This window comes from Homo sapiens, chromosome 11 (assembly GCF_000001405.40).
Source record: "Homo sapiens chromosome 11, GRCh38.p14 Primary Assembly".
Lineage (NCBI taxonomy): Eukaryota > Metazoa > Chordata > Mammalia > Primates > Hominidae > Homo > Homo sapiens.
Genome location: NC_000011.10, coordinates 2,761,351 through 2,786,890, shown reverse-complemented (window position 1 = coordinate 2,786,890; position 25,540 = coordinate 2,761,351). Strand labels below are relative to the sequence as shown.

The 25,540-nt window shown below is 49.8% G+C and overlaps 1 protein-coding gene and 1 pseudogene across 6 annotated transcripts in view, besides 1 other annotated feature; both read right to left on the bottom strand.

Annotated features, from left to right (window-relative positions):
* The window catches only part of KCNQ1 (potassium voltage-gated channel subfamily Q member 1), a 404,098-nt gene that overhangs the window by 62,215 nt on the left and 316,343 nt on the right, over window positions 1-25,540 (bottom strand). For 5 of the 6 annotated variants that reach the window (NM_001406837.1, NM_000218.3, NM_001406836.1 and 2 more), the window contains 4 exons: window positions 17,972-18,047; window positions 10,837-10,931; window positions 9,859-9,905; window positions 8,854-8,915 (listed from right to left, as the gene is read on the bottom strand). In NM_001406837.1, coding sequence (NP_001393766.1) covers window positions 8,854-8,915; window positions 9,859-9,905; window positions 10,837-10,931; window positions 17,972-18,047 — 280 coding nt within the window. Of the gene's footprint in view, window positions 1-8,853; window positions 8,916-9,077; window positions 9,329-9,858; window positions 9,906-10,836; window positions 10,932-17,971; window positions 18,048-25,540 lie in introns of those variants that run through there. The other variant, NM_001406839.1, reaches the window with a different exon arrangement.
* On the bottom strand, window positions 15,314-15,535 carry COX6CP18 (cytochrome c oxidase subunit 6C pseudogene 18; annotated as a pseudogene).
* Window positions 15,665-16,328: an enhancer, noted in NCBI's record as "H3K4me1 hESC enhancer chr11:2791793-2792456 (GRCh37/hg19 assembly coordinates)". NCBI's record gives its function as "activates a minimal SCP1, AML or CMV promoter by ChIP-STARR-seq in naive H9 embryonic stem cells {active_cell/tissue: H9 hESC(naive)}" and the evidence as "EXISTENCE:reporter gene assay evidence [ECO:0000049][PMID:30033119]".

Genomic DNA, 25,540 nt, shown 5'->3' with positions numbered 1-25,540 from the left:
GTGAACTCAGAAATACTTTAGATACTGGAATTAAGAGAAGCTCAATATAGAATAGCCATATTTAATACACTTCAAGAAAATTTTAAAGTTTGAACAGGCAAGTAAAGAGGAAGATACGATTAAAATGACTTATCAGATATGAATAAGAACCCAACAGAACTTTTATAAATAAAATAATAATAATTGAAGTTTAAAATTCACTGAACAGTTTTAACAGCAGATTAAACACAGTCAAAGAAACAACTAGTGAACTGGAAGATGGATTCCAGAATACAGTACAGAGAGACAAAGTGATTTAAAAAAAAAAAAGGTTAAGAGATATGAAGGGGAGTGAGGTGGTCTACTACTGGCCAATAAAAATTTCAGAAGGAGATAATGAGACTGAAGTGAAATCTTACGAAGTATTAACTGAGAATAATCTAGAACTGATGAAAGACACCAAACCACTGAGTAAGGTAGCTCAGGCAGAAAAAAAGAAACCTATTAACATATCCTAGTGAAAATGCAGACTAGAGTCAAAGGAAAGATCTTAAAGGCAGCCAGAGAAAAAAGACAGATTGTCTTCCAAGGAGCAACAATTCATCATCTTCATTCTCAACGGTAACAGTGGAAGCCAAAGGATAGTTCAATAACATTTTTAATGTGCTAAGAAAAAAGAATTTTGATAACCTAAGGCCTATAATTTTATAATTGGTGGAAATATTTTTTAACATGACAGTAAAATGGTCATTTGCGGACAAAATCTGAGAGTTTTTCACTGAAGAAAATTTAAATGAATCCCTCAGTCACATAAAAAGGTAATCCCAGATGTAAGATCTGAGATAAAAAAGAAATAACAAATGACAAAGAGGCAAATGGGTGAGTAAATTTAAACAAATATTGATTGTATAAAACACTACCAATTAGTGAGTTAAAAATTAAACACAGTTCAACTAAAATATACAACAGCAAAGTACTAAGTCAGGGGGAGAATAATTGAAGTTAAAGTGTTCTAGGATCCCTATTTTATTACAGATATGGGTAGATATAGCAATTACTTCTGATATATATTCATTTAAAATGTTCTAGGTTAACCTTTCCAAGGATGGTAGTAGAATACATAACTTCAAAACCAGTAGAGAGAAAAGTAGAATGAGAAGTAATAATCTAATGAGAGGCAAGAAAGAGGAGAAAAATAAATATTACAGATTTAGTACAAGTGGAAAGCACAAAATACACTGCTAGAATTCAATCCAAATCTATTAGAAATTATATTAAATATAAATGTATTAAATATAAATGTATTAAATGATTTTTTAAAAACTCAGTAATACAGTGTTTACAAAAGACAAACCTGAAATCCTACGGTTGTAGGATTAAAAAGAAAAGGATTTAAAAATCTGACATCAAAGTCAGAAAAGAAAACCACACCAGTATCCTTTATGAATATAAAGTACATTCTTTTTTTTTTCTTTCAATCAGCTTTCCTAGGTTGAAGACACAAACATTCTTAACAAAATATTAGCAAACCAAATCCAGCATCATATAAAAAGGATTATATATCATGCCCAGGTAGGATATATTCCAGAAATGTGAGATTGGTTTAACACCTGAAAATTAATGTATTATACCAAATCAGTAGAATAAGGAATAAAAACCACAGGACCATCTCACTAGACACAGAAAGAGCATTTGACAAAATCCAATATCCATTCATAATGAGAGCTCTCAACACACTAAAAATAGAAGGAAATATTCTCAACATGATAAAAGGCATCTATGGAAAACTCAGAGCTAATGGAAATTGATTGAATGATTTTCCCCAGAAGATCTGCTCTAGCACTTCTAGTCAATATTTTTTTTGAAGTTCAAGCCAGTGCAATTAGGCAAAACAAAGAAATTAAAGGCATCTGACTGGAAAGAAGTAAAAATTGTCTTTATTGCCACAAGACATGATCCTATATGTAGAAAATCTTAAGAAATCAATAGCAACAACAAAAATGGCTAAAGCCAAGAATAGAAAAGTCAGTTTACAAGATTGATATAAAAATTTAATGTTACTTCTATATACTAGTAATGAACAATTAATTCAAAATGAAATTAAGAAAACAATTCCATTAACACTAGCATGACAAATAAAATATTTAGGAGTAAATGTAACAAAAGAAGTACCAAATTTATATGCCCCAAACTGCAAAATATCACTGAAAGAAATTAAAGTAGATCAAATAAATGGAGGGATATACCATGTTCATTGATTACAATACTCAATTTTGTTAAGTTGTCAATTTTCCCCAAATGGATCTATAGATTCAACACAATGCCTATCAAAATCCCAGCAGGCCCTTCTTTTTTAATTGACAGGTTGAACCTAAAATTTATATGGAAATTCATAGGACTTAGAATAGACAGAAACAATTTGTAAAAAGATGAACAAAATTAGAAAACTTACATAATTTAATTTTAAAACTTACTGTAAACCTACAATAATCAAGACAGTATAGTATGGGTTTACAGAAAGGCATATAGACTTACAGAAAGGCATATAGACCAACATAATAGAATTGAAAATCCAGAAATAAACCTATAAATTTATGGTCAATTGATTTTTGACCAAGAAGCCATGATAATTCAAAGGAGGAAATGGGGTATTTTCAACAAATGTTCTGGGGCAATTGGATATCCATAAGTAAGAATAAAACAAAACAAATCTAGACTTTACTTCATATCATACCCCAAAATTACCTCAAAGTAAATATAGACCGAAATGTAAGAGCTAATTCTATACAACTTCTAGAAGGAAAAAAACCCAAAACAAAACAGGAGAAAATGTTTATGGCTTTGGATTAGGCAGAGTTCTTAGATAAAACATCAAAAGCCTGAGCCATATAAGAAAAGACAAATTGGACTTCATTAAAATTAAAAACTTTTGTGATTTAAAAGATGTGATTAAGGAAATGAAAAGACAGCCACAGAATGGGAGAAAATATTTGCAAGTCATAGATCTGATAAAGGACTTGTATCCAGAACATATAAAAAACCCTTGCAACTCAATAATAGAACAGACTACTTAATTAGAAAATGGGCAAGAGAGTTGAATAAACATTTCACCAAAGAAGACTATGAATGGCTAATAAGCACATGAAAAGTGGCTCAACATCATTAGTCATTAGGGAAATGCAAATCAAAACCACAATGAGATACCATTACATACTCACTAAAAGGGCTAAAATAGAAAAGACCATGTATTTGCAAGGCTGTGGAGAAAGTGGAACCTTTATACTTTACTGGTGAGAAAGCAAAATGGTATAAATCCTTTGGAAACAGTTTAGAAGTTTCTTAGAAAGTTAAACAGAAATTTGCCCTATGCCTTCTCAGTAATAATAGATCAAGCAGATAAAAACATTCCAATGAGAATATAGAAGATTTGAACAGACCAACTAACAAGCTTGTTCCAGTGGATATGAACATAACACTGCACCCAACAATGTCAGAATATACCTTGTTTTCAAGTACAGAAGGCACATTTACAAAAATTGACCACATTTTTGCCGTAAATCATATTTCAAAACATTCTAAAGGATTAATATCATATGGATTGCTTTCTCTGACAAGAGGGCAACATTATGAGAAAGCTGTGCTACAATTATAACAATGACAAAAACCACATTGCTACAGAACTCCTAGGATAAACAAGAGATCATAATGGAGATTAGAAAAATACTAAAGTGAATGAAGATTAAAATTAAATGCCATATATCAAAATGTGGGAGATGTAGTTTGGATGATATTTAAAGGAAAAATTTATAACCTTAAATGCATACCTTAAAAATTTAGAAAGCCATGAGATTGACAGTGGTTAGAAAAATTAAAACGAAAAGGAAATTTAGGAAGCCTGAAAATTAAGAATTATCCTCTTCTTAATTTAGAGAGGTTAGAGAAAGAACAGTATATTAAGGCCAAGTAAATAGAAGGAATAAAATAAACAGAAGTGAATGAAACAAAACAAAATCACAATAGAGAGGATCAGCAAAGCCAGAAGTCCACGAAACATTTAATAAGACAGGGGAATAGTGTCAAGTTTGACCACTAAGGGGGAAAACAGTGAAGGCACAAATAAATAATATTGAGAATAAAAAATGGGACTAAATGCTAATGGACGGACATTAAAATTATAATAAATGCCAATGAACATGGAAACTAAAATGAAATGTATAAATTCCTAGAATATATAACTTATCAAAACTGATACAAGAAGAAATAGAAAACCTGAACAGTCCATAATTATTAGAGCGATTGAATCAGGAATGATGAATCTTCCCACAAAGAAAACACCAGGCCTAGATGTCTTTACCTTTAAATTCCACCAAACATTTGAGGAAAATAAAATTCTAATCTTATACAAAATATCCCAATATAGGAAAAGAGGGAACACTTCTTAAGTTAGTCTGTGAGGCTCACATACATTTGACACCAAAGCCTGATGAAGACCATACAAGACAGGAAAATTATGTCATGTATGTATCTCACACATAAATACTGGCACAAAAATTCTGATATATTAAATATTAGTAAGTGAGATTTCAGCAGTGTTTAAGAAATAATATACAATGTGAAGGATTGGTGGGTGTGAGGAGAGGCCGGAGACCGCATATATGGCTGGAAAAATAATCCAAGTAAGAGATGATAAAGGCCTGAACTCAGCAGGGGTTGGGCTAAAGGGAGAGGATGAACAGCAGCACGGCGGCTCTGGGGGTGCAGCTCGGGGAACTGCCCAAGACAAAAAAGCCTTGGGGTCCAGCTTGTGGCCTGGTTGATGGAGGAGTCACACTGGAATGAGGGAAAGGGTAGCAGTGTCTGGGGGCAAACACCCAATTCTGGGAGGCTGGGCCTGCCTGCATCCTGGAGGTTGGGGTCATGCACGAAGCTTGGTAAAGGCATGGGCAGGGTGTGGTTTTGGGAGTCCTGGGTTGGGGGGCATTCTCATCCTGGAGGCCTGGATTCTGCGACCGGAGGCAGTGAAAGGAGTGTCAGGTGGTGGGGGCCCCTTCCCGCCCAACGCTTTCTGAACTGCGGCATGGAAACCCAGGACTCCCCTGTGTCCGGCTCTCAGCCATGAACATTTCCGGCAAAAACAGAGAAGAAAGAAACTCTCCCAGCCCACTGTGCTCCTCATATCAGCAAAAGCAGTATGAGCTTAGCTTGCAAAATAAACAGGGCCCAACGTAAACAGTGTGGCAGGTCCTGGAGACCAAGCTAAGAATACTTGCTGGGGGAGGAGGGCTGGAGCGGCCTCTGCCATCGATTCCTCAGAATGTCTGGGGTATGCAGCCCCCACACAGACTGCCAGCCCTGTGTGGGACTTCAGGAAGCCCAGTGGGGCCAGAGGGGGAGTGGGCAGGGCCAGCTCTCTCCGGACCTCTCCCGACCGCCTGCATTGGTCCCTGGCCCACACTGAAGGCCCTGGGCCCTGCTGCTGGTGCCCCCAGCCTGCCCCTGGCCTCAACCCTCCTCAGCCTCTCCATACGGACTTTGGGTGATATGAAACCCCTCCTTGCTCTCTCTACCTCATCTCCCACCCCTGTCTGTGTCCTCCTTGGGACCAGCTCTTCACCTAACTAGCTGTGTGACCTCAGGCGACCACTCAGCCTCTCTGAGCCTCGGTTTCCCCATCTGTAAAAGAGGATTTATGTGGGCATTTGAGCAAATAAGAGTCCTCTCCAGGATAAAGAAGACAATAATCTAAGATGAAAACAGAAAGGGCATGAGGCAGCTTTTGTGACTTTTGACCCTAAGGACACAAGCAGGAGTCAAACCCTCTCATTTGACAGGGGAGGGAGGCCCGCAGGAAGTAGACTCGCTGTGAGGAGGCCCCTGGATCTGCGGGTGTGGGTGGGTTTCTGCTCTCCACACCCTGGAGTGAGGCAGAACCTAAGCCACCAGGACAGGCACAGGGGTGGAAGGGATCCCTGGAATGGGGACGTCCTGCAAGGTAGTTGGGAGGTCTGTGTTGGAGCAGACACTGCACTGTCAAGCAAGAGTTTTGACGAGCCCGCAGGACTGTGACGAGAAGGGAGACCCCCAGACCCCTCTCTCCAATGTGGGTCCCTGGCCAGGACACCAAGGAAGAAGAGGGCTCCCTGCCAGGGAAACTGAGGCAGCCCTGAACAAGCTCAGCTGGCCTGCACTGGTGAACTCCCTGCAGGGGGACACTCTAGGCCTCCCTGGAGGGGTGCCAGCCAGCTGTGCATCCCGGAGACCTCTCATCCTATGGCTAGGCAAGCTGGCCTGGGGTGGGACTCACTGCACAGCCCAGCTGAGGGGCTGAGCTGAGCTGAGAAAACAGTTGGAGGCTGGGGCCTTGACTCCCTTCCGGCAGGCAGCCAGACCAGCGGGATGAGGTGGGGGAGGGTGCTGGTAGGGAAGGCCAGGGGCTCTGGCTGGGGTTGGCAGGGCCGGCGGGCATTGGCACCGCTGCACGCCTGCTGGGCCTCCGAGGGCCGGGCGGCTGCTGGATTTCCTGCCCCTACTTCCCGAAGTCAGCAGGATTGCGCTTGGGGTATTTACGGTCCCGATGGCTGCACTGATAACGGAGAAAACTCGAGCCAGGCTGTGCCACCAAGCCCTCCAGGCCCAGCCAGGCCCTTTCCTAGGGTCTGTCCCTGAGGGGTGCACCAGTCAGTGGCAGGGCAAGGACCGGGTAGGCTACCACCTACCCACCTAGGTCAGCACAGCTCTGTCAACTCCTTGATGGGCAGCCAGGTTCCAGGTAGACCCCTCAGCGGGGCTGAGATTTAGTGTCGACTGTGGGTGCCACTCACCACCTCAGAGACCCCAGGCAGAGGACTCGAATGTAATGGCAGGGAGCCAGGGCCCACCAGGGCTGTGCATGCAGAATCTACCAGAATCCTCGTGGCCCCGGCTCAGAGCCTGACAGGGCACCAGGATGTGGCCCCAGCCTTGTTCTTAAACCTTGCCCTAGGGATCAGGGACTCCGGAAAATGCTTCCCTTTGTTGCTCAGATGTGAAGAAATTGGGTGCATAATTTTGTGCCTTCAAGGCCAGCGCTGGCCCCTCTGCAGGCCCCCACACCGACCTTGGCTGACTGAGGACTGTGTCCTTGTTCCCAGGCCCCAGCAGGCTGCTGGACGGCTGCTGTGCACGTCAGGAAGGGGCCATTGCACTTCAGGAGGCCCTGTCTGCCACCCACCATCACCCCCGCAGGATGCCAGACTCCAGGTCTGGGCTTAGAGGGTGGCCTGTCCCATGGAGCAGGGGCAGAGCCGTAAGAAAGGTCTGGGACAGTAGTGTAGGCAATGGAACCAGAGCTTGGCAGGGAGTGGCGGGGAAAGGCGGGGGCTGTCCCCAGCCTGTGCTGTCCAGAAAGGGCCACCGACACTCCTGCACGTCAGGGATGTTCACGCCCCGCCTGCCTGGCTGCAGCCGAGATGGAAGCAGGAGTGGAGGCTGGGGAACTGGGTGCCACTCCCTGTCTCTACCACGGCTTTCCTTGATGTCTAGAAACTCCTGGCCATGCCAACAACACAGGGTACCCGGCCCTGCTGTACTGGGTGTGCCAGCCAGGAGTCACCCAGCCCTTGCGCAAAGAGAAAGCCAGGGAAACACCGTGTTCCCCGGGCAGCAGAGAGGCCAAGGCTTCTGGGCCTCTGAGCTTGCCAATCCTGTGAGCTGACCTCTCCCGGGTCTTGCTTCCTGTCCTGCCAGATGGGCGCTATCTCCCACTGGGCCATCTGCCTGGCAAAGGTCTGCACCAGCCCTGCTCAGGTCTGTGCTGACAGAGGGTGGCCAGGCCCATGGGACTCAGGGTACTGTGGTCACACAGCCCCATGGGGCCAGGCACCTGAACACCAGCCTTCGCTCTTTCTGCATGACCCAATTTGCTGGTCTCAGGGCCCCACGGCCGCCCCAGGCCATGGGCAGATGGTGCCAGGTGGGGAGAGGGTGACGCTGCAGGTCCTGGGGGCCAGGACGGGTGGGGCAGGAGCAGGAGCCTGGGCCGGGCTGTGCCTGCCCCGCCTGCCCGGCTGCAGCCGAGATGGAAGCAGGCCAGAGCCAGGCGTTGCCAGGGAAACCGGGCGGCAGACGCACTCCCTGCCCAACTGAAACTCCTCTATTTTTAGCCTCTCAGCTACTTTCAGATAAAGTCCATGTAGACGGACTTGCTGTTCGGCAAGATAACAGCCCGCTTCAAACCACAGAGACTTCAAAGGGCAGTGGTGGGCTCAGCCATGGGCCCGAGAAAGGCCCTCCCACCGCCCAGATCCCCCGGCAGCTCCCAGGGTGCCTGGGGGAGAGGCTCCGGCCTGAGGGACCGAGTGATGGGCACAGAGCCTGGTGGGGAGTGGGGGCCTGGTGGGTTCGGGGTGAACAGAAGATGCCTCTCTTCCCATGAACCCATCCCAGCTGGGCCCTGCACCTCCCTGAGCCCTCGGCCGGCCCCAAGTGGAGGCCCCAGACAGCTGGGCCCAGGAGAAGGCTGGGATGTGAGGCCAGCTTCTGCCACCCTCCACTCAGGACACAGCCAGGAGGCTCGCAGAGCACAAAGCAGACTACGAGAGGCAGCGGGAAAGAGCTGGGGGGAGGGGGCACTTGGTGCCACCTGCCAGTAAAGACGCCACTTGTCAGAGGATGAGAAACCAGCCTGGCCTGGCTCCTTCCATGGGGGACCAATGCCCCGCCAGGTGGGCAGTGGGCCTGGGCCCCTCTTGGGAGTTGCTGGGCAGGCTGCAGTAGGCACTGGCGGGAAGGTGGGGAGGCCTGCAGGAGCTTCACGTTCACACGCAGACCACAGGGAGGTGCCTGCTGGCCCCAGGACGCTAACCAGAACCACCGCAGGCCGGCGCGTGAGCCTACCTTGTCTTCTACTCGGTTCAGGCGGGCGCCGATCGTGTTGCTGCCGCGATCCTTGCTCTTTTCTATGGGGGATAAAACACCCAAATCAGGGCCAAGTGCTGGGGTGGGCCGGGGACCCCAGCTGGGCTTGGGAAGTGGGGTGGTAGGGCTGGGGGAGGTAGCTGAGAGTCAAAATGCCTAAACCTACTAGGACATTTTTAAAAAGCATGCTATGACAAAAATACCAGGGGTGGTACGGTGGCCGGGCATGGCTGCAGCTGGGGACCTGGGCTCCATCCTGCTCCACGCTCTCCACCTCTGACCTCTGAGAGCCCTAGGGGGCTGCCTAAGCTGGCCACACTGCCAGCTGTGCAAGCCCATGCCATTCCACTCCCAGGGCGACACAGGCCTGACTCCAGGCTGGGGGCACAGCCATTCCGCTGCTCCGTTACACCAGCCCACACTATGAGCCGTGGCTGCTGTTTGCATCTGGGCTAGGGAAACCCCAGGGAATGTGCCTTTTCCCTGTCATTCCCCGGAATGACTCACAGCCCCGTGTCCAGGGGACCCAAGGAATTTGGTCAAGGAGCCAGAAAACCAGCCCCCAGGCTGCAGCCAGGTGCTTCTGTCCCTCTCAACTTGAGCCCTGCAAGGCCCCCACCCATAGTCTCTTGAATTCTGGGCTGGCAGCTCACCCCACCCAAACCCCACCCCAGGATCACCCCCTTCTGCAAAGTTGCCCTGGGTTCATGTTTCCACACCTAGAGCCTAACCTCAACGCCCTGGAATTTAAAGGGACCCAGGTAGGTTCTTATGAAACCTGAATATTCCTTTGTAAAATGTACTTTGGAGCCACTTTGCTAAGGGTGGGGTCTACCTCCCCTTACTCCCTGGCTTTCATTTCATGTCATGCACTTTGGAGGTGCAATGGCCCATTCTGACATCATGGGGAGAGCCAGGAGGGCAGAGGTGCGGGAGAGTCCATTGCAGGCTGCTGGGCCCAGAGTAACTGACACAGAAACCCACCTGAGACGGAGATGAACAGTGAGGGCTTCCCAATGGACTGGTCCAGCCTGGAGAGAAGGACACAGACACCAGTTCACACCTGGCCCTGGCACTGCGCAGATGCACTGTCGTCTGTGGGACAGACAGCTTGACGTGCCCGGCAAGACAGTGGACTGTCCACCCACTCTGGGGACACCCCCGACCCTAAGGCCTGCCAGGTCACTCCCAACCCCCCAGAGGGCCATGCTCCCGAGGGGGCTGAGCAGGGATCTCGGAAAGGGGGAGTCGGTGGGCTGCCTCTCAGACTTCCTCCCTGGGGGTAGGAGTGGGAGGCAGTGGATCAGCCATGGGCAAGGCAGCCTGACCCCTCGCCTGTGGCCAGGATGGACACGGGCTCCCAGCCATGCCCTGTAACACACGGAGCTAGTTCCCAGGCGAGCCCATCTCGGAGGCACAGCTGCTCTGAGTCTGTGCAGGCCCGGGAGGATGGTGCTAGCTCCATGGGAACACATTAGCTCCCCACAGTCAGGGTCTCCAGCTCCAGGCCAGTCTGGGGGAGACCCGTGCGGTGGGGCCTGGCACCAGGCAGTGTCTTCCCAGGGCTGGGCCTGGCCCCTTGCTCAGAGGTGACAGGGAAGGCGGGTGGGCTGGCTGCCGAGTGTCCTGAAGTTGTGGGGAGTGTGAAGCTGGTGTTGCTACCTGAGCAGGGACGGAGGCGGGTGTTTGCCTCCCCTACGCGCCTCCCCTACCCCAATTCCCCCATCATCTCAGATCCGGGCGGGGAACAAGGTAGAGCTGCCTGGTGGGCTGGCTGTGAACCGTGGCCGTGGCCAGCTGCCCTCCCTCTGCAGGGCTGGGGGTGGTGAGGAGAAGGGGGTGGTTGAGAGGCAAGAACTCAGGGTCTCAGCCCCTCCCTCCTCCGGCACCGCTGATCATGCAGCTGGGGCCGGGCTGGGCAGGACCTGGGCACCCTCCCCGCTGCCGTTTGGCCGTGCCCACCTCCTCTGCAGCTCCTTGATGCGCACCATGAGGTTGAGGTGGCCCTGCGAGTACTGCTCAATGACGTCCCGCACATCGTAAGGCTTCCGCGCTTGCTGCGGGACAAAAAGACACGCATCACTTCTCCTCCCTGTGCCCCAGCCATGTGGCTCAAAGTGCAGGCAGTGACAGTGTCTGCCCTCGGGAGGCTTGTGAAGACCTGGGAGCTCGCCTATGTGGTGATGGCATAAGCCTGGTTCCAAGCGTGCACAGTAGCGAAGCTTGTCCCCATCAGCTTGGCCATGGGTCTCTGGGTAGTCCTGGGCCATCAGCTCGGCCTCTCTGGGTCCCAGCTTCCTGTCTACTCACCGGCAGGGGCCTGCTGTCTCCTCCCTTCCACCCCCCACCACCCCAGGCTACCAGTTCTGGTTCTCAATGGCTTCAGGAAGAGCTGGCCCCCCCAAGGGGTCAAGGAGCAGCACAGTGCCAGGCACTGACCAGGAGGCACAGCTCTGCATGCCCACTACCTACCTGGGCCCCAGACTGACCCTTGACATGCTCACTGGCTGCAGCCGCCACTGTCCTCAGGGTAGGGAGCGGGTCTCCTCTGCATCGTTCCTGGCAGTTTGTGCCAGGCAGCAGGGGTGGCCCCAGATGACGGCCTTAGCCTGCAGCACTTGCTGTGGGTGACGAGCATCTGCTTGGGCTCCCACAGTGGGGCTGGGGCCATGTGAGGCAGGGCAGGGGACCCCAGGGCTCCCAGGCTTGTTGCCAGCTCTAAGCCTATAAGTGGGACTCAGGTGACATCTTGAAACCACAACAGAGAAAACAAAGCATCTCATGATATCAGGAAACCCCAAGCCACATTTGTGGCCTTGCTCCCAAGGGCCTCACTCAGGTGGAGCAGCCAGGCTGAGCAGGGGTTTGATGGCCTAGGAAGGCCTTGGCCCTGCAGGCAAGCCAGCACATAGGACAACAGACTGCCTCTATCCCGAGAGGCCACTGGGTGACCGGGTGAGGCCCAGGGTAGTCATCATTAGTGCTCAAATAGCCACCTTAGCACTGAGCTAGTGGCTTTCCTGCCTTTTGCTGGGGAATTTGCAAGGCCCAAGAGACGAGCCAAGCGGCTTGGTGGGGAGGGGTGGGGCAGGGCCAGCCCAAGTCAGAGGGAGGCAATTGAGGCCCAGGATGAGAAAGGAGGAAGCTCAGGTACCGTTGAGGGCCCGGGCTGGGTCTGGGAACATGCCCTCCCTGCCCACCTGCTACCTCTCTTTGGGGTCCTACTCCTGAGACCAGGGTGACCTTAATCTGAGGATGCAGCCACTTCTACCCTGGGAAGCAGCAAGTTCCCAGATGGGGAGACCCTGAGGTCAGGTCTCCATGTACCCACTTTCAGCTCTAGACACACTTCTGACATGCCCAGGGGTTCTGCCACCAATGCCGGAGGCTTGGTGGAGTTCTTACAGCCCGCCCAACATTGTTTTGGACCCCAGGAATCCCAAGACAGGGCAGAGACCTCCTCCCTACCAAAGGCTGGGCCTCAGAAGTTCAGGGGGTTCCTCTTCCACCTGACACAAGCAGGTAGGGCCCTCACTGGCAACACTAGCCACTCTCTGGGCCCTGAACGGGAGATCCTGAGATCAGGAGGGCTGGGATGGGGCCCGTGTCCTCACAACACAGCTGTGCCCCATGGAAGGAAGGGCCTGCTGCTCCTGGGGCCACACTGGGCACCAGGATCGCCGGCATTGCCCAGAAATGACACACCAAGAACTGTGATAGAGGCAGGCATGGGGTTGGACTCTAGGCAGACCCTCTGGCCCGTAAAAACCGTACTTATGTACAGGCTAGTAATAACATCCTCAGGTCTCAGTTTCTCCTGTAATATGGGAATGCTAAGTCCTTCTTCTCTCTTCTGTAAGATAAAATGCTGAGCCCTGTCTCTCTCTTCCGTAAAAGGGGATGCTGAGCCCTGTTTCTCCTTCCTATAAGATGGAGATACTGAGTTCTCTTCTATGAAATGGGATGTTGAGTCTTAATTCTCTTTTCTGTAAGATGGGATGCTGAACCCTGTCTCTGTCTTCTATAAGATGGGATGCTGAGCCTTGATTCCCCCTTCTGTAATATGGGATGCTGAACCCTGTCTCTCTCTTCTTTAAGATGGGATGCTGAGCCTCAATCCTCCCCTTCTGTAAGGTGGGTTGCTGAGCCCTGTTAGCATCTGGTAGCATCTCTTGTACCTGGTAGCATCTCCTGTAAGATGGAGATGCTAAGCTCCCTTCTGTAAGATGGAATGCTGAGCCTTGATTCTCCTTTCTGTAAGATGGGATATTGAGCCCTGATCCTCCCTTTTGGAAGATGGGACACTGAGCCCTGTTTCTCCCTCCTGTAAGATGGAGATACTGAGCTCCTTTCTGTAAGATGGAATACTGAGCCTTGATCTTCCTTTCTGTAAGATGGGATGCTGAGCCCTGATCCCCCCTTTTGGAAGATGGGATGTTTCTCCTTCCTATAGGATGAAAATGCTGAGCTCCCTTCTGTAAGATGGGATGCTGAGCCCTGATCCTCCTTTCTGTAAGATGGGATGCTGAGCCCTGATCCTCCTTTCTGTAAGATGGGATGCTGAGCCCTGTTGGTATCTTCTATAAGATGGGATGCCGAGCCTTGATCCTCCTTTCTGTAAGATTGGACGCTGAGCCCTGTCTCTCTCTTCTATAAGATGGGATGCTAAGCCTTGATCCTCCTTTCTGTAAGATGAGTTGCTGAGCTCTGTTTCTCCTTTCTGTATAATGGAGATTCTAAGCTCCTTTCTGCAAGATGGGATGCTGAGCCCTGCCTCTCTCTTCTATAAGATGGGATACTGAGCCTTGATCTTCCTTTCTGTAGGACGGGTTGTTGAACTCTGTTTCTCCCTTCCGTATGTCCCTTCTGTATGATGGAGATTCTACGCTCTCTTCTCTAAGATGGGATGCTGAGCACTGCCTTGCTCTGCCTTAAGGGAGGGAGTGAGGATGACATAGGATGGGAGTTGAGAAAGGTCAGGGAATCCTAAGCCAGCACCATGCCAGAGCCAGAGTCACAGCCAGCTGTGGCCGAAGCCTCTCTTCAGAACACATTGAACATGGCATGAGTCATGGTGGTGAGCCTCCTGCAGACCACAGAGCTCTGTGAAGCTGAAGCATGGGGCACCTCCAGCCATCTGGGTGCGGTGTGGGCAGGTGAAGGGAGGCAGGGCAGGGGAAAACCAAGCCCTAGGAGTCTCTGGGCCACTGTGACCAGGTGGGTGTAGGTGTGTGTGTTAGCAGCCTCTGCAGATGCGAGTGCTTCCAAACAGGCCTGTTGTGGGCAAGGAAGTATTATGTACCTGAGTGTGTGCACGTCTGCAGGAGCAGGGCTGGGTGGGCCTATCAGCAGAGAGCTCCCTGCACCTTCAGCCACAGCCTTACCTGGTGTAGGGCATAGCCCAAGAAGGCTCAGCAATGCCCGCAGACCATGAGGACCCACGGCCCGGTGGCATCCCAGCCCACAGAGACTTATCCTGGAGCCACTGAGATGCCTGCTAGGATACGGTTAGGGCTCACGGGGGCCTTTGTCCAGTGGTCCTCTGGGGTTGGGCTGGAAAGATCATCCTGACTTCAGGAGCCTGAGATGAGCCGAGATAATGCAGGCCTGTCCAGACTGACTGATGGTGGACAGGGAGTTCAAGGCACACTTGAAGGGTGGAGAGGCTCCGGCTCCTTGGGCCAGACACAGGGGTGGTTGGCCAAGGACTTATCAGCCAGCAAGGTAGGCAGAGGGGTCACCTGCCATGTCAGCAGCCCCTGAGGCCAGCGGGGGTGGGGTGGGGTGCAAGCAAGCAGACAGGCAGGCGTCGAGGAAGGGAAGCATCCTGAGAGGTGGGCTAGGGGAGCCCCTGGAGCCACACACAGCTCCTCACTGCCACGGGCTACTGCTCCCCTCACCCTGGCCCCACCCCTCCATGCTGCTCCCAGCAATAAGAGCCAGCTGGTGAGGTCGGAGGGAGCCCCAGCGGCTTTGTGCAGGAGCCTCTGTGCCCTGCGAGGATCCTGCTGTTGCCAGGTTTCTGCAAGGCTCCCAGGGCCAGGGAGCAGTGGAGAAGCAGACAGTGGGGTGGGGGTTTCCCAGTCTGCTTCAGGAAGCCTCCTGGGCCATTCTCAGGGTCCCGGCCTGTGTCCTAAGACAGGAAAGGGGACCCACTCCCTCCTGTCTGGAAGGGAGTGCAGGGCTCACTGTGTTCCTCCCCAGGGACCAGCTTTTTCACCTGTGGCTCAGCGACAGGGCCTGCTGGGGCTGGCGCAGATGATCTCTCTCTCTCTCTCTGTCCCTCTCCCTCTCTCTCTTTTTGTATTTGTTAATTGCTTATTTACCAAGAGAAACCATTTCTTGGCCCATATATTCATGTTTCACAGTTCAGGAACACAGGTCACTGACAAGCTTCTAGGTAATTCAACCCAAAGAAATTCTTTATATTCCAAAATCACTTTGCACTCTGAAAGATGCCAGCCTTCCTCATCACCTCAAAATCTTTGACGGCATCATAATATCTGTAGAAATCGTGTGCTTTTTTTCTTGGTTCAGCCACATCAAACTTACAGAGAGCTGCAACTCCCAGGTATTCAACGAATGCTCCAACAACATGAAATTGCAGACGCTTGGCCAGGAGGCTACGCATCTGAGGTTTCACCACAAGACTGGAAGCCATGGTAGTTATTATCACGATGGGATATCCTTGATATCAACCTCAATGCCAGTGTCCTTCCTGGCTGATGGAGAAAGGGATGGCTGGATGATCTCTTGACCTGAGCTGGAAGCTGCCCACACCACCCCTGGAGCTAGGCCTGCCCAGGAGCCATCAGGGTCTGCATGCTCTGCTGGGTTCCCCCAGACCTTGGAAGCAGCCCCCAGGATGCCCAAGTGGCGCAGTTCTGCAAGCCTTGGTGGGCTCTGGCTCTGCCCTGCTGGGACCTGCTCTGCACCCTCAGGCCAGACACCAGCCCCACCCTGGGAGGCTCCCTGTGTCCCTCTGCTCTACTGCTGGGGTGACGTCAGCTGCTTCGGCTGTCACGACCATGCTGTTCTCCAGCGAACTGACACACCCTGGCCCTTCCCATGGTCTCCTCTGCCCTCGGGGGACTGCCCTGCCCAGATCTGAGTCCCAAAGGGGTTCACGCAGCCCCTTCCCTGTCTGGGAGAGCACTGGTGCTGCCAGGAGGCTGGCCTCTCTCTTCCATTGCCCCCGAGTGAGCTCCCTGCTCCAGCAAGGCCCTCCATGCCAGCACCAGAGAGAGGAGACGGTCCCAGAATGGAGACACCCTGGTCCACAGGGGCTGTCAGATCTCCCCTAGAACATGCCAGGCAGATCTCCGGGCACTGGCCAGCAGTGGCATTTGCCATGGCTTTTATTTTGACTGCAAGAGGTCCCAGGCACTGCTGGGAGCTTTGACACAACTTGGTTCAGTTGAGTCATGAACCACCCCCTTCCCTGGGGGGATGCAGGTGGGAGGGCCAGCTGAGAAACACCACTGTGGGAGGGCTGTGCATGCGAAACCCCCCTGGAGATGGTGGCCCGGTGGCCAGAACGAGGGCCCGCATACTGCTCTTGGCAAGGGCCTGGCCGAGGGCTGCTCTTGGGGCTCAGAGTGACGACGAGCCTAGCGGGTGCTGGCCTGGGGTTGCTGGGGGCAAGGCCCGGGTGAGGCACGTGCATATGATCTTATGCCAAACCCTTAGGCTCTCATTCCCCTCACAGCTGGGGAAGAACTTGCCCAGGGCTGCCTGTGCCAGGGTCTGCACCCAGACCGCCCTGTGAAGTCTGGAGGCTGAGGTGGCTCCAGGGCCCAGATGGGTGGGGGCTCCACCAAGGAGACTGTGGGCGGGCCTGTGTCAATCCTGGGGCCTGGAGTGGAAGGTGTGGCCTGGTGTGAAAGACATGGCTGCAGGGGGACCAGACTTGAATGCCACTGTCAGTCCGTCTGGATGGGCTGTGCATTATCTTGGCTCATCTCAGGCTCCTGAAGTCAAGATGATCTTCCCAGCCCGACCCAACGACCTCTTGACAAAGGCCCCCATAAGCCCTGACCAGACCCTAGCAGGGAGCTCAGTGGCTCCAGGATAAGTCTTGGTGGGCTGGGATGCCACCGACTGTGGGTCCTGGTGGTCGGCGGACATTGCTGAGCCTTCCTGGGCTGTGCCTTATGACTGGTGAGGCTGTGGCTGAGGTGCCAGGGGCCCCCAGCTCAGAAGCCCCACCCTGCCCTGCTCCTGCAGACACGCACTCACTCAAGCACGTCACACGCCCCCCGCTCCAAGGGACTCAGGCAAGTCACCCCCCAGCCTTCCCTGCTTTGTGATTTTTGCCTTCTGGATCACCCACCACAGAGGATACGGGGTTCCCACACCTACACATGTATTTCCAAGCCAGGACTCAGTACCCCCCACCACCGCCTTCATCCGAGGAATGTCCCCAAGGCAGGAGGGGAGACATGCCTGCCATCAATGGCATTCTCTGCGGGGCATGGACTCTGGGGGCTCTAAGGGGCTTCTGTAGGGGGGACATGCCCCTGGAGAAGTTAGGGCAGCTTATGGAAGCCCTGGAGCTCCAGCCTCACCTGGCCAAGGGGACCCCACCTCTTACAGAGCAGGGCCCAGCCTCCCTCCATCCTCCCAACTCACAGAGGGTGGAGGAGCAGGGAATGAGAGCACTGAGCCAGTGGAGGACAGGGCTGGGGGGTCTGGGGGACCTGCCTTCCCAGCTTGGTGACTCAGGGCAGGCTCCGCACCATCTCTGAGTCATTCTGATGTCACCCTCACATCTCTCACTAATGCTGCCTTGCACGACCCACCCCACGGGAGGACTGAGTGAGCTACACGGCTGCTGCCTTCTACTTGGTGAAGAAGACACTGCATGTGTCCCTGGTTCCAGGCCGGGCCTCCAAGGATAGGTCCTCTGAGGGGCCTGCTGTCTGGGGTTCGGTGGGGTAGGCACTGTCAGGTCTCAGATAGGCCTGCCTGTGTGGCTTGGGGGCGGAGGCCTTGACACCCTCCACTATGGGCAGGAGAGAACCCAGGAGAGGTGTGGGCAGCTGCATCAGGCTGCGAGGGGCAGGCTGAGGGCAGGAAGGCTCAGCACAGGGCTTACCTGGAATTTCTTCTTGGCCACAAAGTACTGCATGCGTCGAATGACCTTAATGGTGGCCCGATGGTGTTCCCGCAGCCTGCAGTGGAGAGAGGAGAGGAGATTGTGAGTGGCCACCCTGTGCTGGTCATCCCCTCACTGCCCCTGCACTGCCTGAGGAGCACGCAGACTGGATCCTTCCAGAAACAAGGAGAGTGTTCAACTCCATGGGATGGAGATACTTAGGCCATGTCCCAGTGTGGGCTCGAGGGGAGGCTGGGGGCAAGAGGCTTTTCAAGGTGAAATGTTTCACCTCATCTGTGAGTGGGAAGGGGACCCTTACCTTGAGTGTCATTCAGAAGGGGGTCAGGTAGGAGTCAGGGCCCTGAGTTGGCCATGGCTATGCTGCTGACACATGGCAGCCATAGCAACTTCTTTCTATGCTTGGGCCTTCAGGATCCTTGTCAGCAAATGGGATAAGAGGGTACATGCTGGCGATGCCCACAGCCCCTTTCAGCTGCTGTGTCCTGTAGCCCCACAAACAGCAAGCGCTTGGGAAAGTAGGGGCTACAGGACAAATTAACAAGGGAAAGTTGCCACCAGAGCCACTCTGTTAAGGGGGCTGCGCTGTTTTTGCCTCCTAAAGTTTCTTCTAGAAATAAAGATCCTTTTAGAAACAGCATCACAAAAGGAAACAAAGGGGATGATGTGTCTGTGCATAGAAAAAAGACTGGAAGAAAACACAGCGCCATGGAGGCCACAGGAGATTCCCTCCTGGCAGTGAAGCTAACGCCTGCCTGACTTTCCTGATGGAAACACCAGGGACTGCGAGACTAAGTGATGCCAACAGCAAGGAACAGCTGTGTGAGGCTTTGGAGACCAAGAAAGACATAGAAGGTGAGGATCCCACATAGAAAGGAAATGAACTGAGCTGCGCCTGCATCCGAGCGTTTCCTCCTCAGGGCACTTGTCAGTTTGGGGAGCACTGACACCCAACAGGGTGGGGGCCCAGTGGGCTAGTGATAAAAATGTGGAGTCCAGGGCCACAGGACAGCCAGGACACGAGGGAAAAAGATTCTGGTCCTCTAGCCACCTTTCACACAACTTCCTCTGGAAACACTTGTGAATTCCTAAGCCACACGGGTGGGTGAGAATCACAGAAACTGAGCAAAAAGCAGTTGCTGAAGGGGTAAAAGCTAAGCAGAGTACTCAGTAGACGCATGGCACTGTGGAGAGAAGCTTTGGGGTTTAGAAGCTATCTAGAAGGCAGCCCCAGAAACTAAGCAATGCCAACTTTCCATCACATTAACCCCACCTCTCTCAATCCCCTACTGGAGTAAGGTGCTTTGCGCGTGGCAGAAGAAAATAAAATTATCTGTAGGGAGATAATACCCTCGAGCATCTACAATTTTATACACGAAAGACTAAAAGGCAAGGGAAAAGAGAGATCATACAGATCTAAAGGTGTGGTACTTCCAACAGCCTTAAATACTTGCAGCTCCTTCCATTAAGAGATGGAGTCTGTTTTCCTATTACTTGAATTTGGGGTCACCTTGTGACTTCACTGATGAAAGAGTACTGGGGAATGTACACGGTATATAATTCATGTCCTTTTGGAATGTGGCCCTGCAAACAAGCTTGCTGATTAGAGAGGCCACATGGAGAAGAGAGAGGCCTCAGCTAACAGCCAGCACCAACAGAACAACCTCCTAGCTGAACCAAGTCCAACCTCCTAGCTAAGCAAAGAAAAAAAAAAATACACACACACACACACATATAGATGGAGTCTCGCTCTATTGCCAGGCTGGAGTGCAGTGGCACAACCTCGGCTCACTGCAGCCTCCGCCTCCCGGGTTCAAGTGATTTTTCTGCCTCAGCCTCCTGAGTAGCAGGTGCACACCACCATGCCCAGCTAATTTTTGTATTTTTAGTAGAGACAGGGTTTGATCATGTTGGCTAGGATGGTGTTGATCTCTTGACCTCATGATCTGTCCGCCTTGGCCTCCAAAAGTGCTGGGATTACAGGCATGAGCCACCATGCCCGGCCCAAAGAAAATATTTGAAGCCACTAAATTTAGGTCTAGTTTGCTACGCAACAATAGGTAACTGATACAGAAATAAGGACTAAGAAATAGGTAATGTCATATCAATATCCTAAAACTTACAGCATTAATTTTGGGACAAGGAATTGGACAGAGGCTGGAAGGGGCAGATCACAAGATGTCGGACTTTGAGCATGATGCCACATGTAATTGGGTGAGAATTTTAGGTATCGTCGGGAGGGGGGTGAGTGAATTTTGCATAGGGGAGAATGCGAAAAGTTATGGCCAGAGGGCAGACTGTGATTAATTAAAGATGGGCACAATCCATTGTGGTTCCTCCCATTGCAGGCTAGAGTCTATCTCCACCATGGTGGAAATGATCATGTCTTCTGAAGCTCAGCCTCAAGGACCTTGTGGCATCTACTCTTACCCTCTTAGAATTCTGTTGGCTCATGGACAAGTCTGAGCTAGCCTGCTGGAACAGCCGCGTGAAGGAGAGCTGAGAGACCCTGGCTGACAACCCAGTGGCTCCAGACACGTGAGGACAACAGAGACCACTCAGCCACCACCACATCACCATGCAAGTACTGCCATGTCATCGAATCCAAGTGAGACCACCCAACTGGGCAGCCCAGATTGCTGACCCATAGATTTGTGAGCTAACAGATGATTGTGCTTTGCTTCAGAATATTTAGATGAAGACTTCAAAATAACCATGATAAATAGGTTCAAGAAAATAGATGAAAAGATAGACAATTTTACCAGAGAAATAAAATTTATAGATACATAAAAAGGAAGTTCCAGAAAAGTAAGGACCATAATGGAAATGAAGAATGCAATAGGTGAGTTGGATAGCAGGGACGACAGAGTAGAAAAGAATAGCTGTGAACCCAAAGAAAATAGCCAGCTTGGAGCATGAAAAGAAAATAGACTTAAAGGAAGAGATGAAACAAATGAAAAAGAAGCATAAGATGGTAGATTGCATACATTATAAGTGGATTAATAGTCTAATTAAAAGATCAAGATTGTCATGATTAAAAACAACTATATAAATCCACTTTAAAATATAACGATACAAAAACATGTTGGGAAAGGATAGAAAAAGATAGGTCATGGTGTAGCCAAATGAAAACTAGTAAAGGAAAACCAATAGCAGACTTTAAGTATTACTAAAGAAGAATATGTCCTATTTATAAAAGTGTCAATTCAGCAGGACGAGATCAATTCTAAATTTGTATGCACCTAAAAACATAACCTTAAAATACATAAAGCAAACTGGCAGAACTAAAAGCTAAAAGAGAAAATGGTGGGAGATTTGAACACACCTCGTCAGTAACTGATAGAAAAGCAGTCAAAGCTTTGTCAAGTCAGAGACAAATTTGAACAGCCTGATTAGCAACTTGACATATACAGAACACTGCTCCCTACAACTGGAGACTACATAAGCTTCCCTAGTGCACACAGAACATGTACCAAAAGAGACCATATGCAAGACTTCAGAAGCAAGTTCCAACAAATTTCAAAGCAGGCAAATCATATTTATTATGCTCTCTGACTACAGTACAATTAAATTAGAAATCCATAAAAAGAGATAACTAGGGAATCTCCATGTATTTTGGATATTAAACAATCTAAATAACCCAGGGGTCAAAGAAAAATATATAATGAGAATCAAACAACAGTTTAAATTAAATAGTAATAAAAATGTAAGGTATTAAAATTCATAGCCAAATAGGTACTGAAAGTACAGTGAAATAAGCACAGACAGTGAACCTCGTGGCTTTAAATGCATATCTCAGAGCAGAGGAAAGGCTGAAATCCATCTCAAGCGGTTAAAAAAATGGCAAATTACCATTTGCCTCCTACCAAAGATAGTAGGAGGGAAGAGATAAAGTTAAGAGCACAGTCTATGAGATAAAAAATGAACATTATTTAAGGAAAATCAACAAAGCCAAAATTTGGTTCTCAGAAGAGACTAATAAAACAGACACACTTTTGGGAAGACTGATCAGATGGGGGAGGGGACACAAATGACCGCCATCAGGAGTTAAAGATGGAATGTCACTATAGACCTAGAGGTGCAGAAACATTTATTCAGAGGACATTACAAACAAAAATACTTTTGATGATTTAGATAAAATATACAAATTATTTAAAAACACAGTATGTAAAAGTAGACACAAAAACAAAAATAATCCAAATTGCCCAATATTAATTAAATAAGTTAAATTTGGAATTTTAATGATCTTCTGGCAAAGAAAACTCTGTATCTAGACGACATCACCAGTAAATTCTTCCAAATGTTTAAGGAAAAAATAATGTCAATTTTATACAAGTATTTTCATAAGGCAGCATAACCTTGATATCAAAATCTGACAAGGATATTTCAAGAAAGAAAAAAAAAATCACAGGTTAATCTCTCTCGTGAACATACGTGCAAATATCCTAACCACCACCAGCAAGCTGCATGTAGCACTGTGCCCAAACACATGCTCGAATGTGGTTTAATCCACTTGTGCATGCTGAGTTTACCCTCTAAGGACCAAGCAGCGTCACTCTTCACATCAACAGAATAAGTCAGAAAAAATACAATCAACACAACAGATTGTAAGAAAGCATTTGATAAAGCGAGACCTGTTCATAATTAAAAACACAACTCTCAGCAAACTAGGAATAGAAACTCCATTACCTAAAAAAAAAAAAGACAAAAACTAAAACAAAAAAACCCAAACCCTAAGCAGACATCATACTTAATAGTGAAATGTGATACGCTTTCCTCCTGAGACAGGAAGCAAGGCAAGGATGTTATCGTTTCTATTTCACATTGTCCAGAAAGTCCCAGCTGGTATGTTAAAAAGGTAGGAAAAGGGAGATAAAAGGTACAAGGATTGGACAGGAAAAAATAAAACATTTGTTATTTGCAAATGACATAACCATACATGTAAAAAAAATCCCTAAGAATCCTCAGATAAACTGTTGGAATACATGAATTTAACAAGAACGCCGGTTTTAAGGATGATATATAATAATTATATTTCTAGGCCTGACAGAGTGGCTCACATCTGCAATCCCAGTGTTTTGGGAGGGTGGGGTGGGAGGATCACTTGAGCCCAGGAGTTTGAGATCAGCCTGGGCAACATAGTGAGACCCCATCTGTAGAAAAAATAAATTTAAAAAATAGCCAGGCTTGGTGGTGTGTACCTGTGCTTCTTGCTACTCAGGAGGCTGAGATGGGCGGACTGCTTGAGCCCAGGAGCTCAAGGCTGCTGTAAGCTCTGAGCCTGGAATGCAGAGACCCTGCCTTTAAAATATGTATATGTATATTTCTATATGCTAGTAACAATTAGAAAATAAAACATATCAATTACAATAGCATCAATAACCATAAACTTGACCAGAAACTTAAGAATAAATCTTTCAAAAAAGTTTTTTGTTTCTTCTTTACTGTCTTGCTTTCACAATCTTTCTTTCTTTCTTTCTTTCTTATTTTTTTTTTTTTCTTCTAAGATGGGGTCTTGTTATTTTGCCCAGGCTGGTTTCAAACTCCTGGGCTCAAGTGATCCTCTCACTTCAGCCTCCCAAGTAGTTGGTATTACAGGTGTGAGCCATCGTACCCAGCTCTAAAATAAATCTGTTTAAAGATGTGTAAGACTGCTACACAGAAAAGCACTGAGCATTGGAGAGACAGATAAAGAAGCCCTAACTTGACTTGGGGATATAGTATGTTCATGTATAAGAAGACTCAATATTTATAAGATGTTAATTTTCTGCAAATTGAGGTGTGGATTAAATATGATTCCAATCAATATCACAGTGCTTTTTGTTTGTTTGTTTATTTATTGGAAACCGACAAGGTGATTCTAAAATATTCCTAACAACGTGAAGGGCCAAGAATAGCCAAGACGATCTTGAAGAACAACAAAGTCAGAGGTCTGACACTCCTAGGGTTTCATGAGGCCACAGGGCTTGATTAAGAGCGTGTGGGCAGACAGATGAACAGTGGGGGTCTGACGGAATAGGGCAGTGGTTCCCCAACCTTTTTGGCACCAGGGACCAGTTTCGTGGAAGACACTTTTTCCGTGGACGGGGTGGGGTGGGGGGAGATGGTTTCAGGATGAAACTGTTCCAGTTCAGACCAGCAGGCATTAGATTCTCATAAGGAGTACACAGCCTAGACCCCTCACATGTGCATTCACAACAGGGTTCGCGCTCCTGCGAGAATCTAATGCCACCACTGATCTGACAGGAGGCGGAGCTCAGGTGATCACGTTCACTTGCCAACCGCTCACCTCCTGCTGCACGGTCCTGTTCCTAACAGTCTATGGATGGGTACCGGTCTGTGGCCTGGGGACCCGTGGAATAGGACATTAGACACACAAACCCTCCTGTGGCCACTGGTTCATAGAAAAGACGCCTTTGCCGTCGAGCTGGCGGAAGGATACGCTTTTCAATAAAGGGTGCTGGAACAATGTGGATGCACCTGTGAAAGTATGTCAACCATGATCCTTACCACACACCGGTCACAAAGTTAACCCAGGGAGAGTCACAGGCCTAACTATGAGGCAATCGGGCCTGTCGAAGAAAGTTGGATAATATTTTCACGACCTGGGATGGGCAAAGACGTCTTTAAAGGAACGCAAACAGTATGAACTGTAACAGAAAACTATTTGACAAATTGGAGGCCCCAAGATCTCCGTGATGGTCTCATGAAGGCCCCCCTCCCAGGCCTGACACACGAGAGGAACTATTACCCTGGCCTCACGTCCTGGCCTCTTTCCATCACCCCAAACAGCCTGGGAGCAGGCAGGGAACGGGGAGTCATAGGTGCCTGACCGTGAAGGGTCTACCACTGGCTGTCACTTAGGGCCTTGGGAGCCTGTGGCCATGACCGCCAAGGTCTGGATGCGGCCCCACATCCAGTGAGAACACTCGGGGCTCCTCAGATCCTGTTCTGCACAGAGGGCCATGCCCCGTGGCTGCTTCACAGGCCGCTAGAAGCTGCTGCGGGCCTCCCCTCCTGCCAACTCCCTAGAACACAGCCGGAGCCTTCACAGGCAAACAGCCGGCCGGGACTGCAAGCAGCCAGGGCTGAGGGTGCCAGCCCAGGCCCCCAGCTCTGTCCAGGCCATGCTGTGGGTCAGCCACTGCTCTGGTGACAGCGCTGGCTACCTGGCTTTTCTGCTGAACACAGTCCACCCTGTGGTCTCAGAGAGAAGGGCCCGGCTTGCTCCTTTGCAGGGGGTGGTGTCTCTCTCTCTGTCTTGGGCGAGGCCTGGGATGGGGCCAAGTGGCCTTTCCTGGTAGTGATACGGAAGAGGGGCAGGGAAGTGCTGGGAGGAGAAGGGCGGGTCCCTGGCTAGGGTTCCACCCTACGGCCTATGTGCACGGACCCAGGTGAGGACAGACATTTCGGTGTTTCTGCCCAAATGTTGCATTTCCCGAGAACACCCTGGCCTGCCATGCTCCCATCCCGTGCCTATAAAGATCTCGAGACCTTAGTGGGCAGACACACAAGCGGCTGGACATCAAGAGGAACACATCGGCAGAAGAA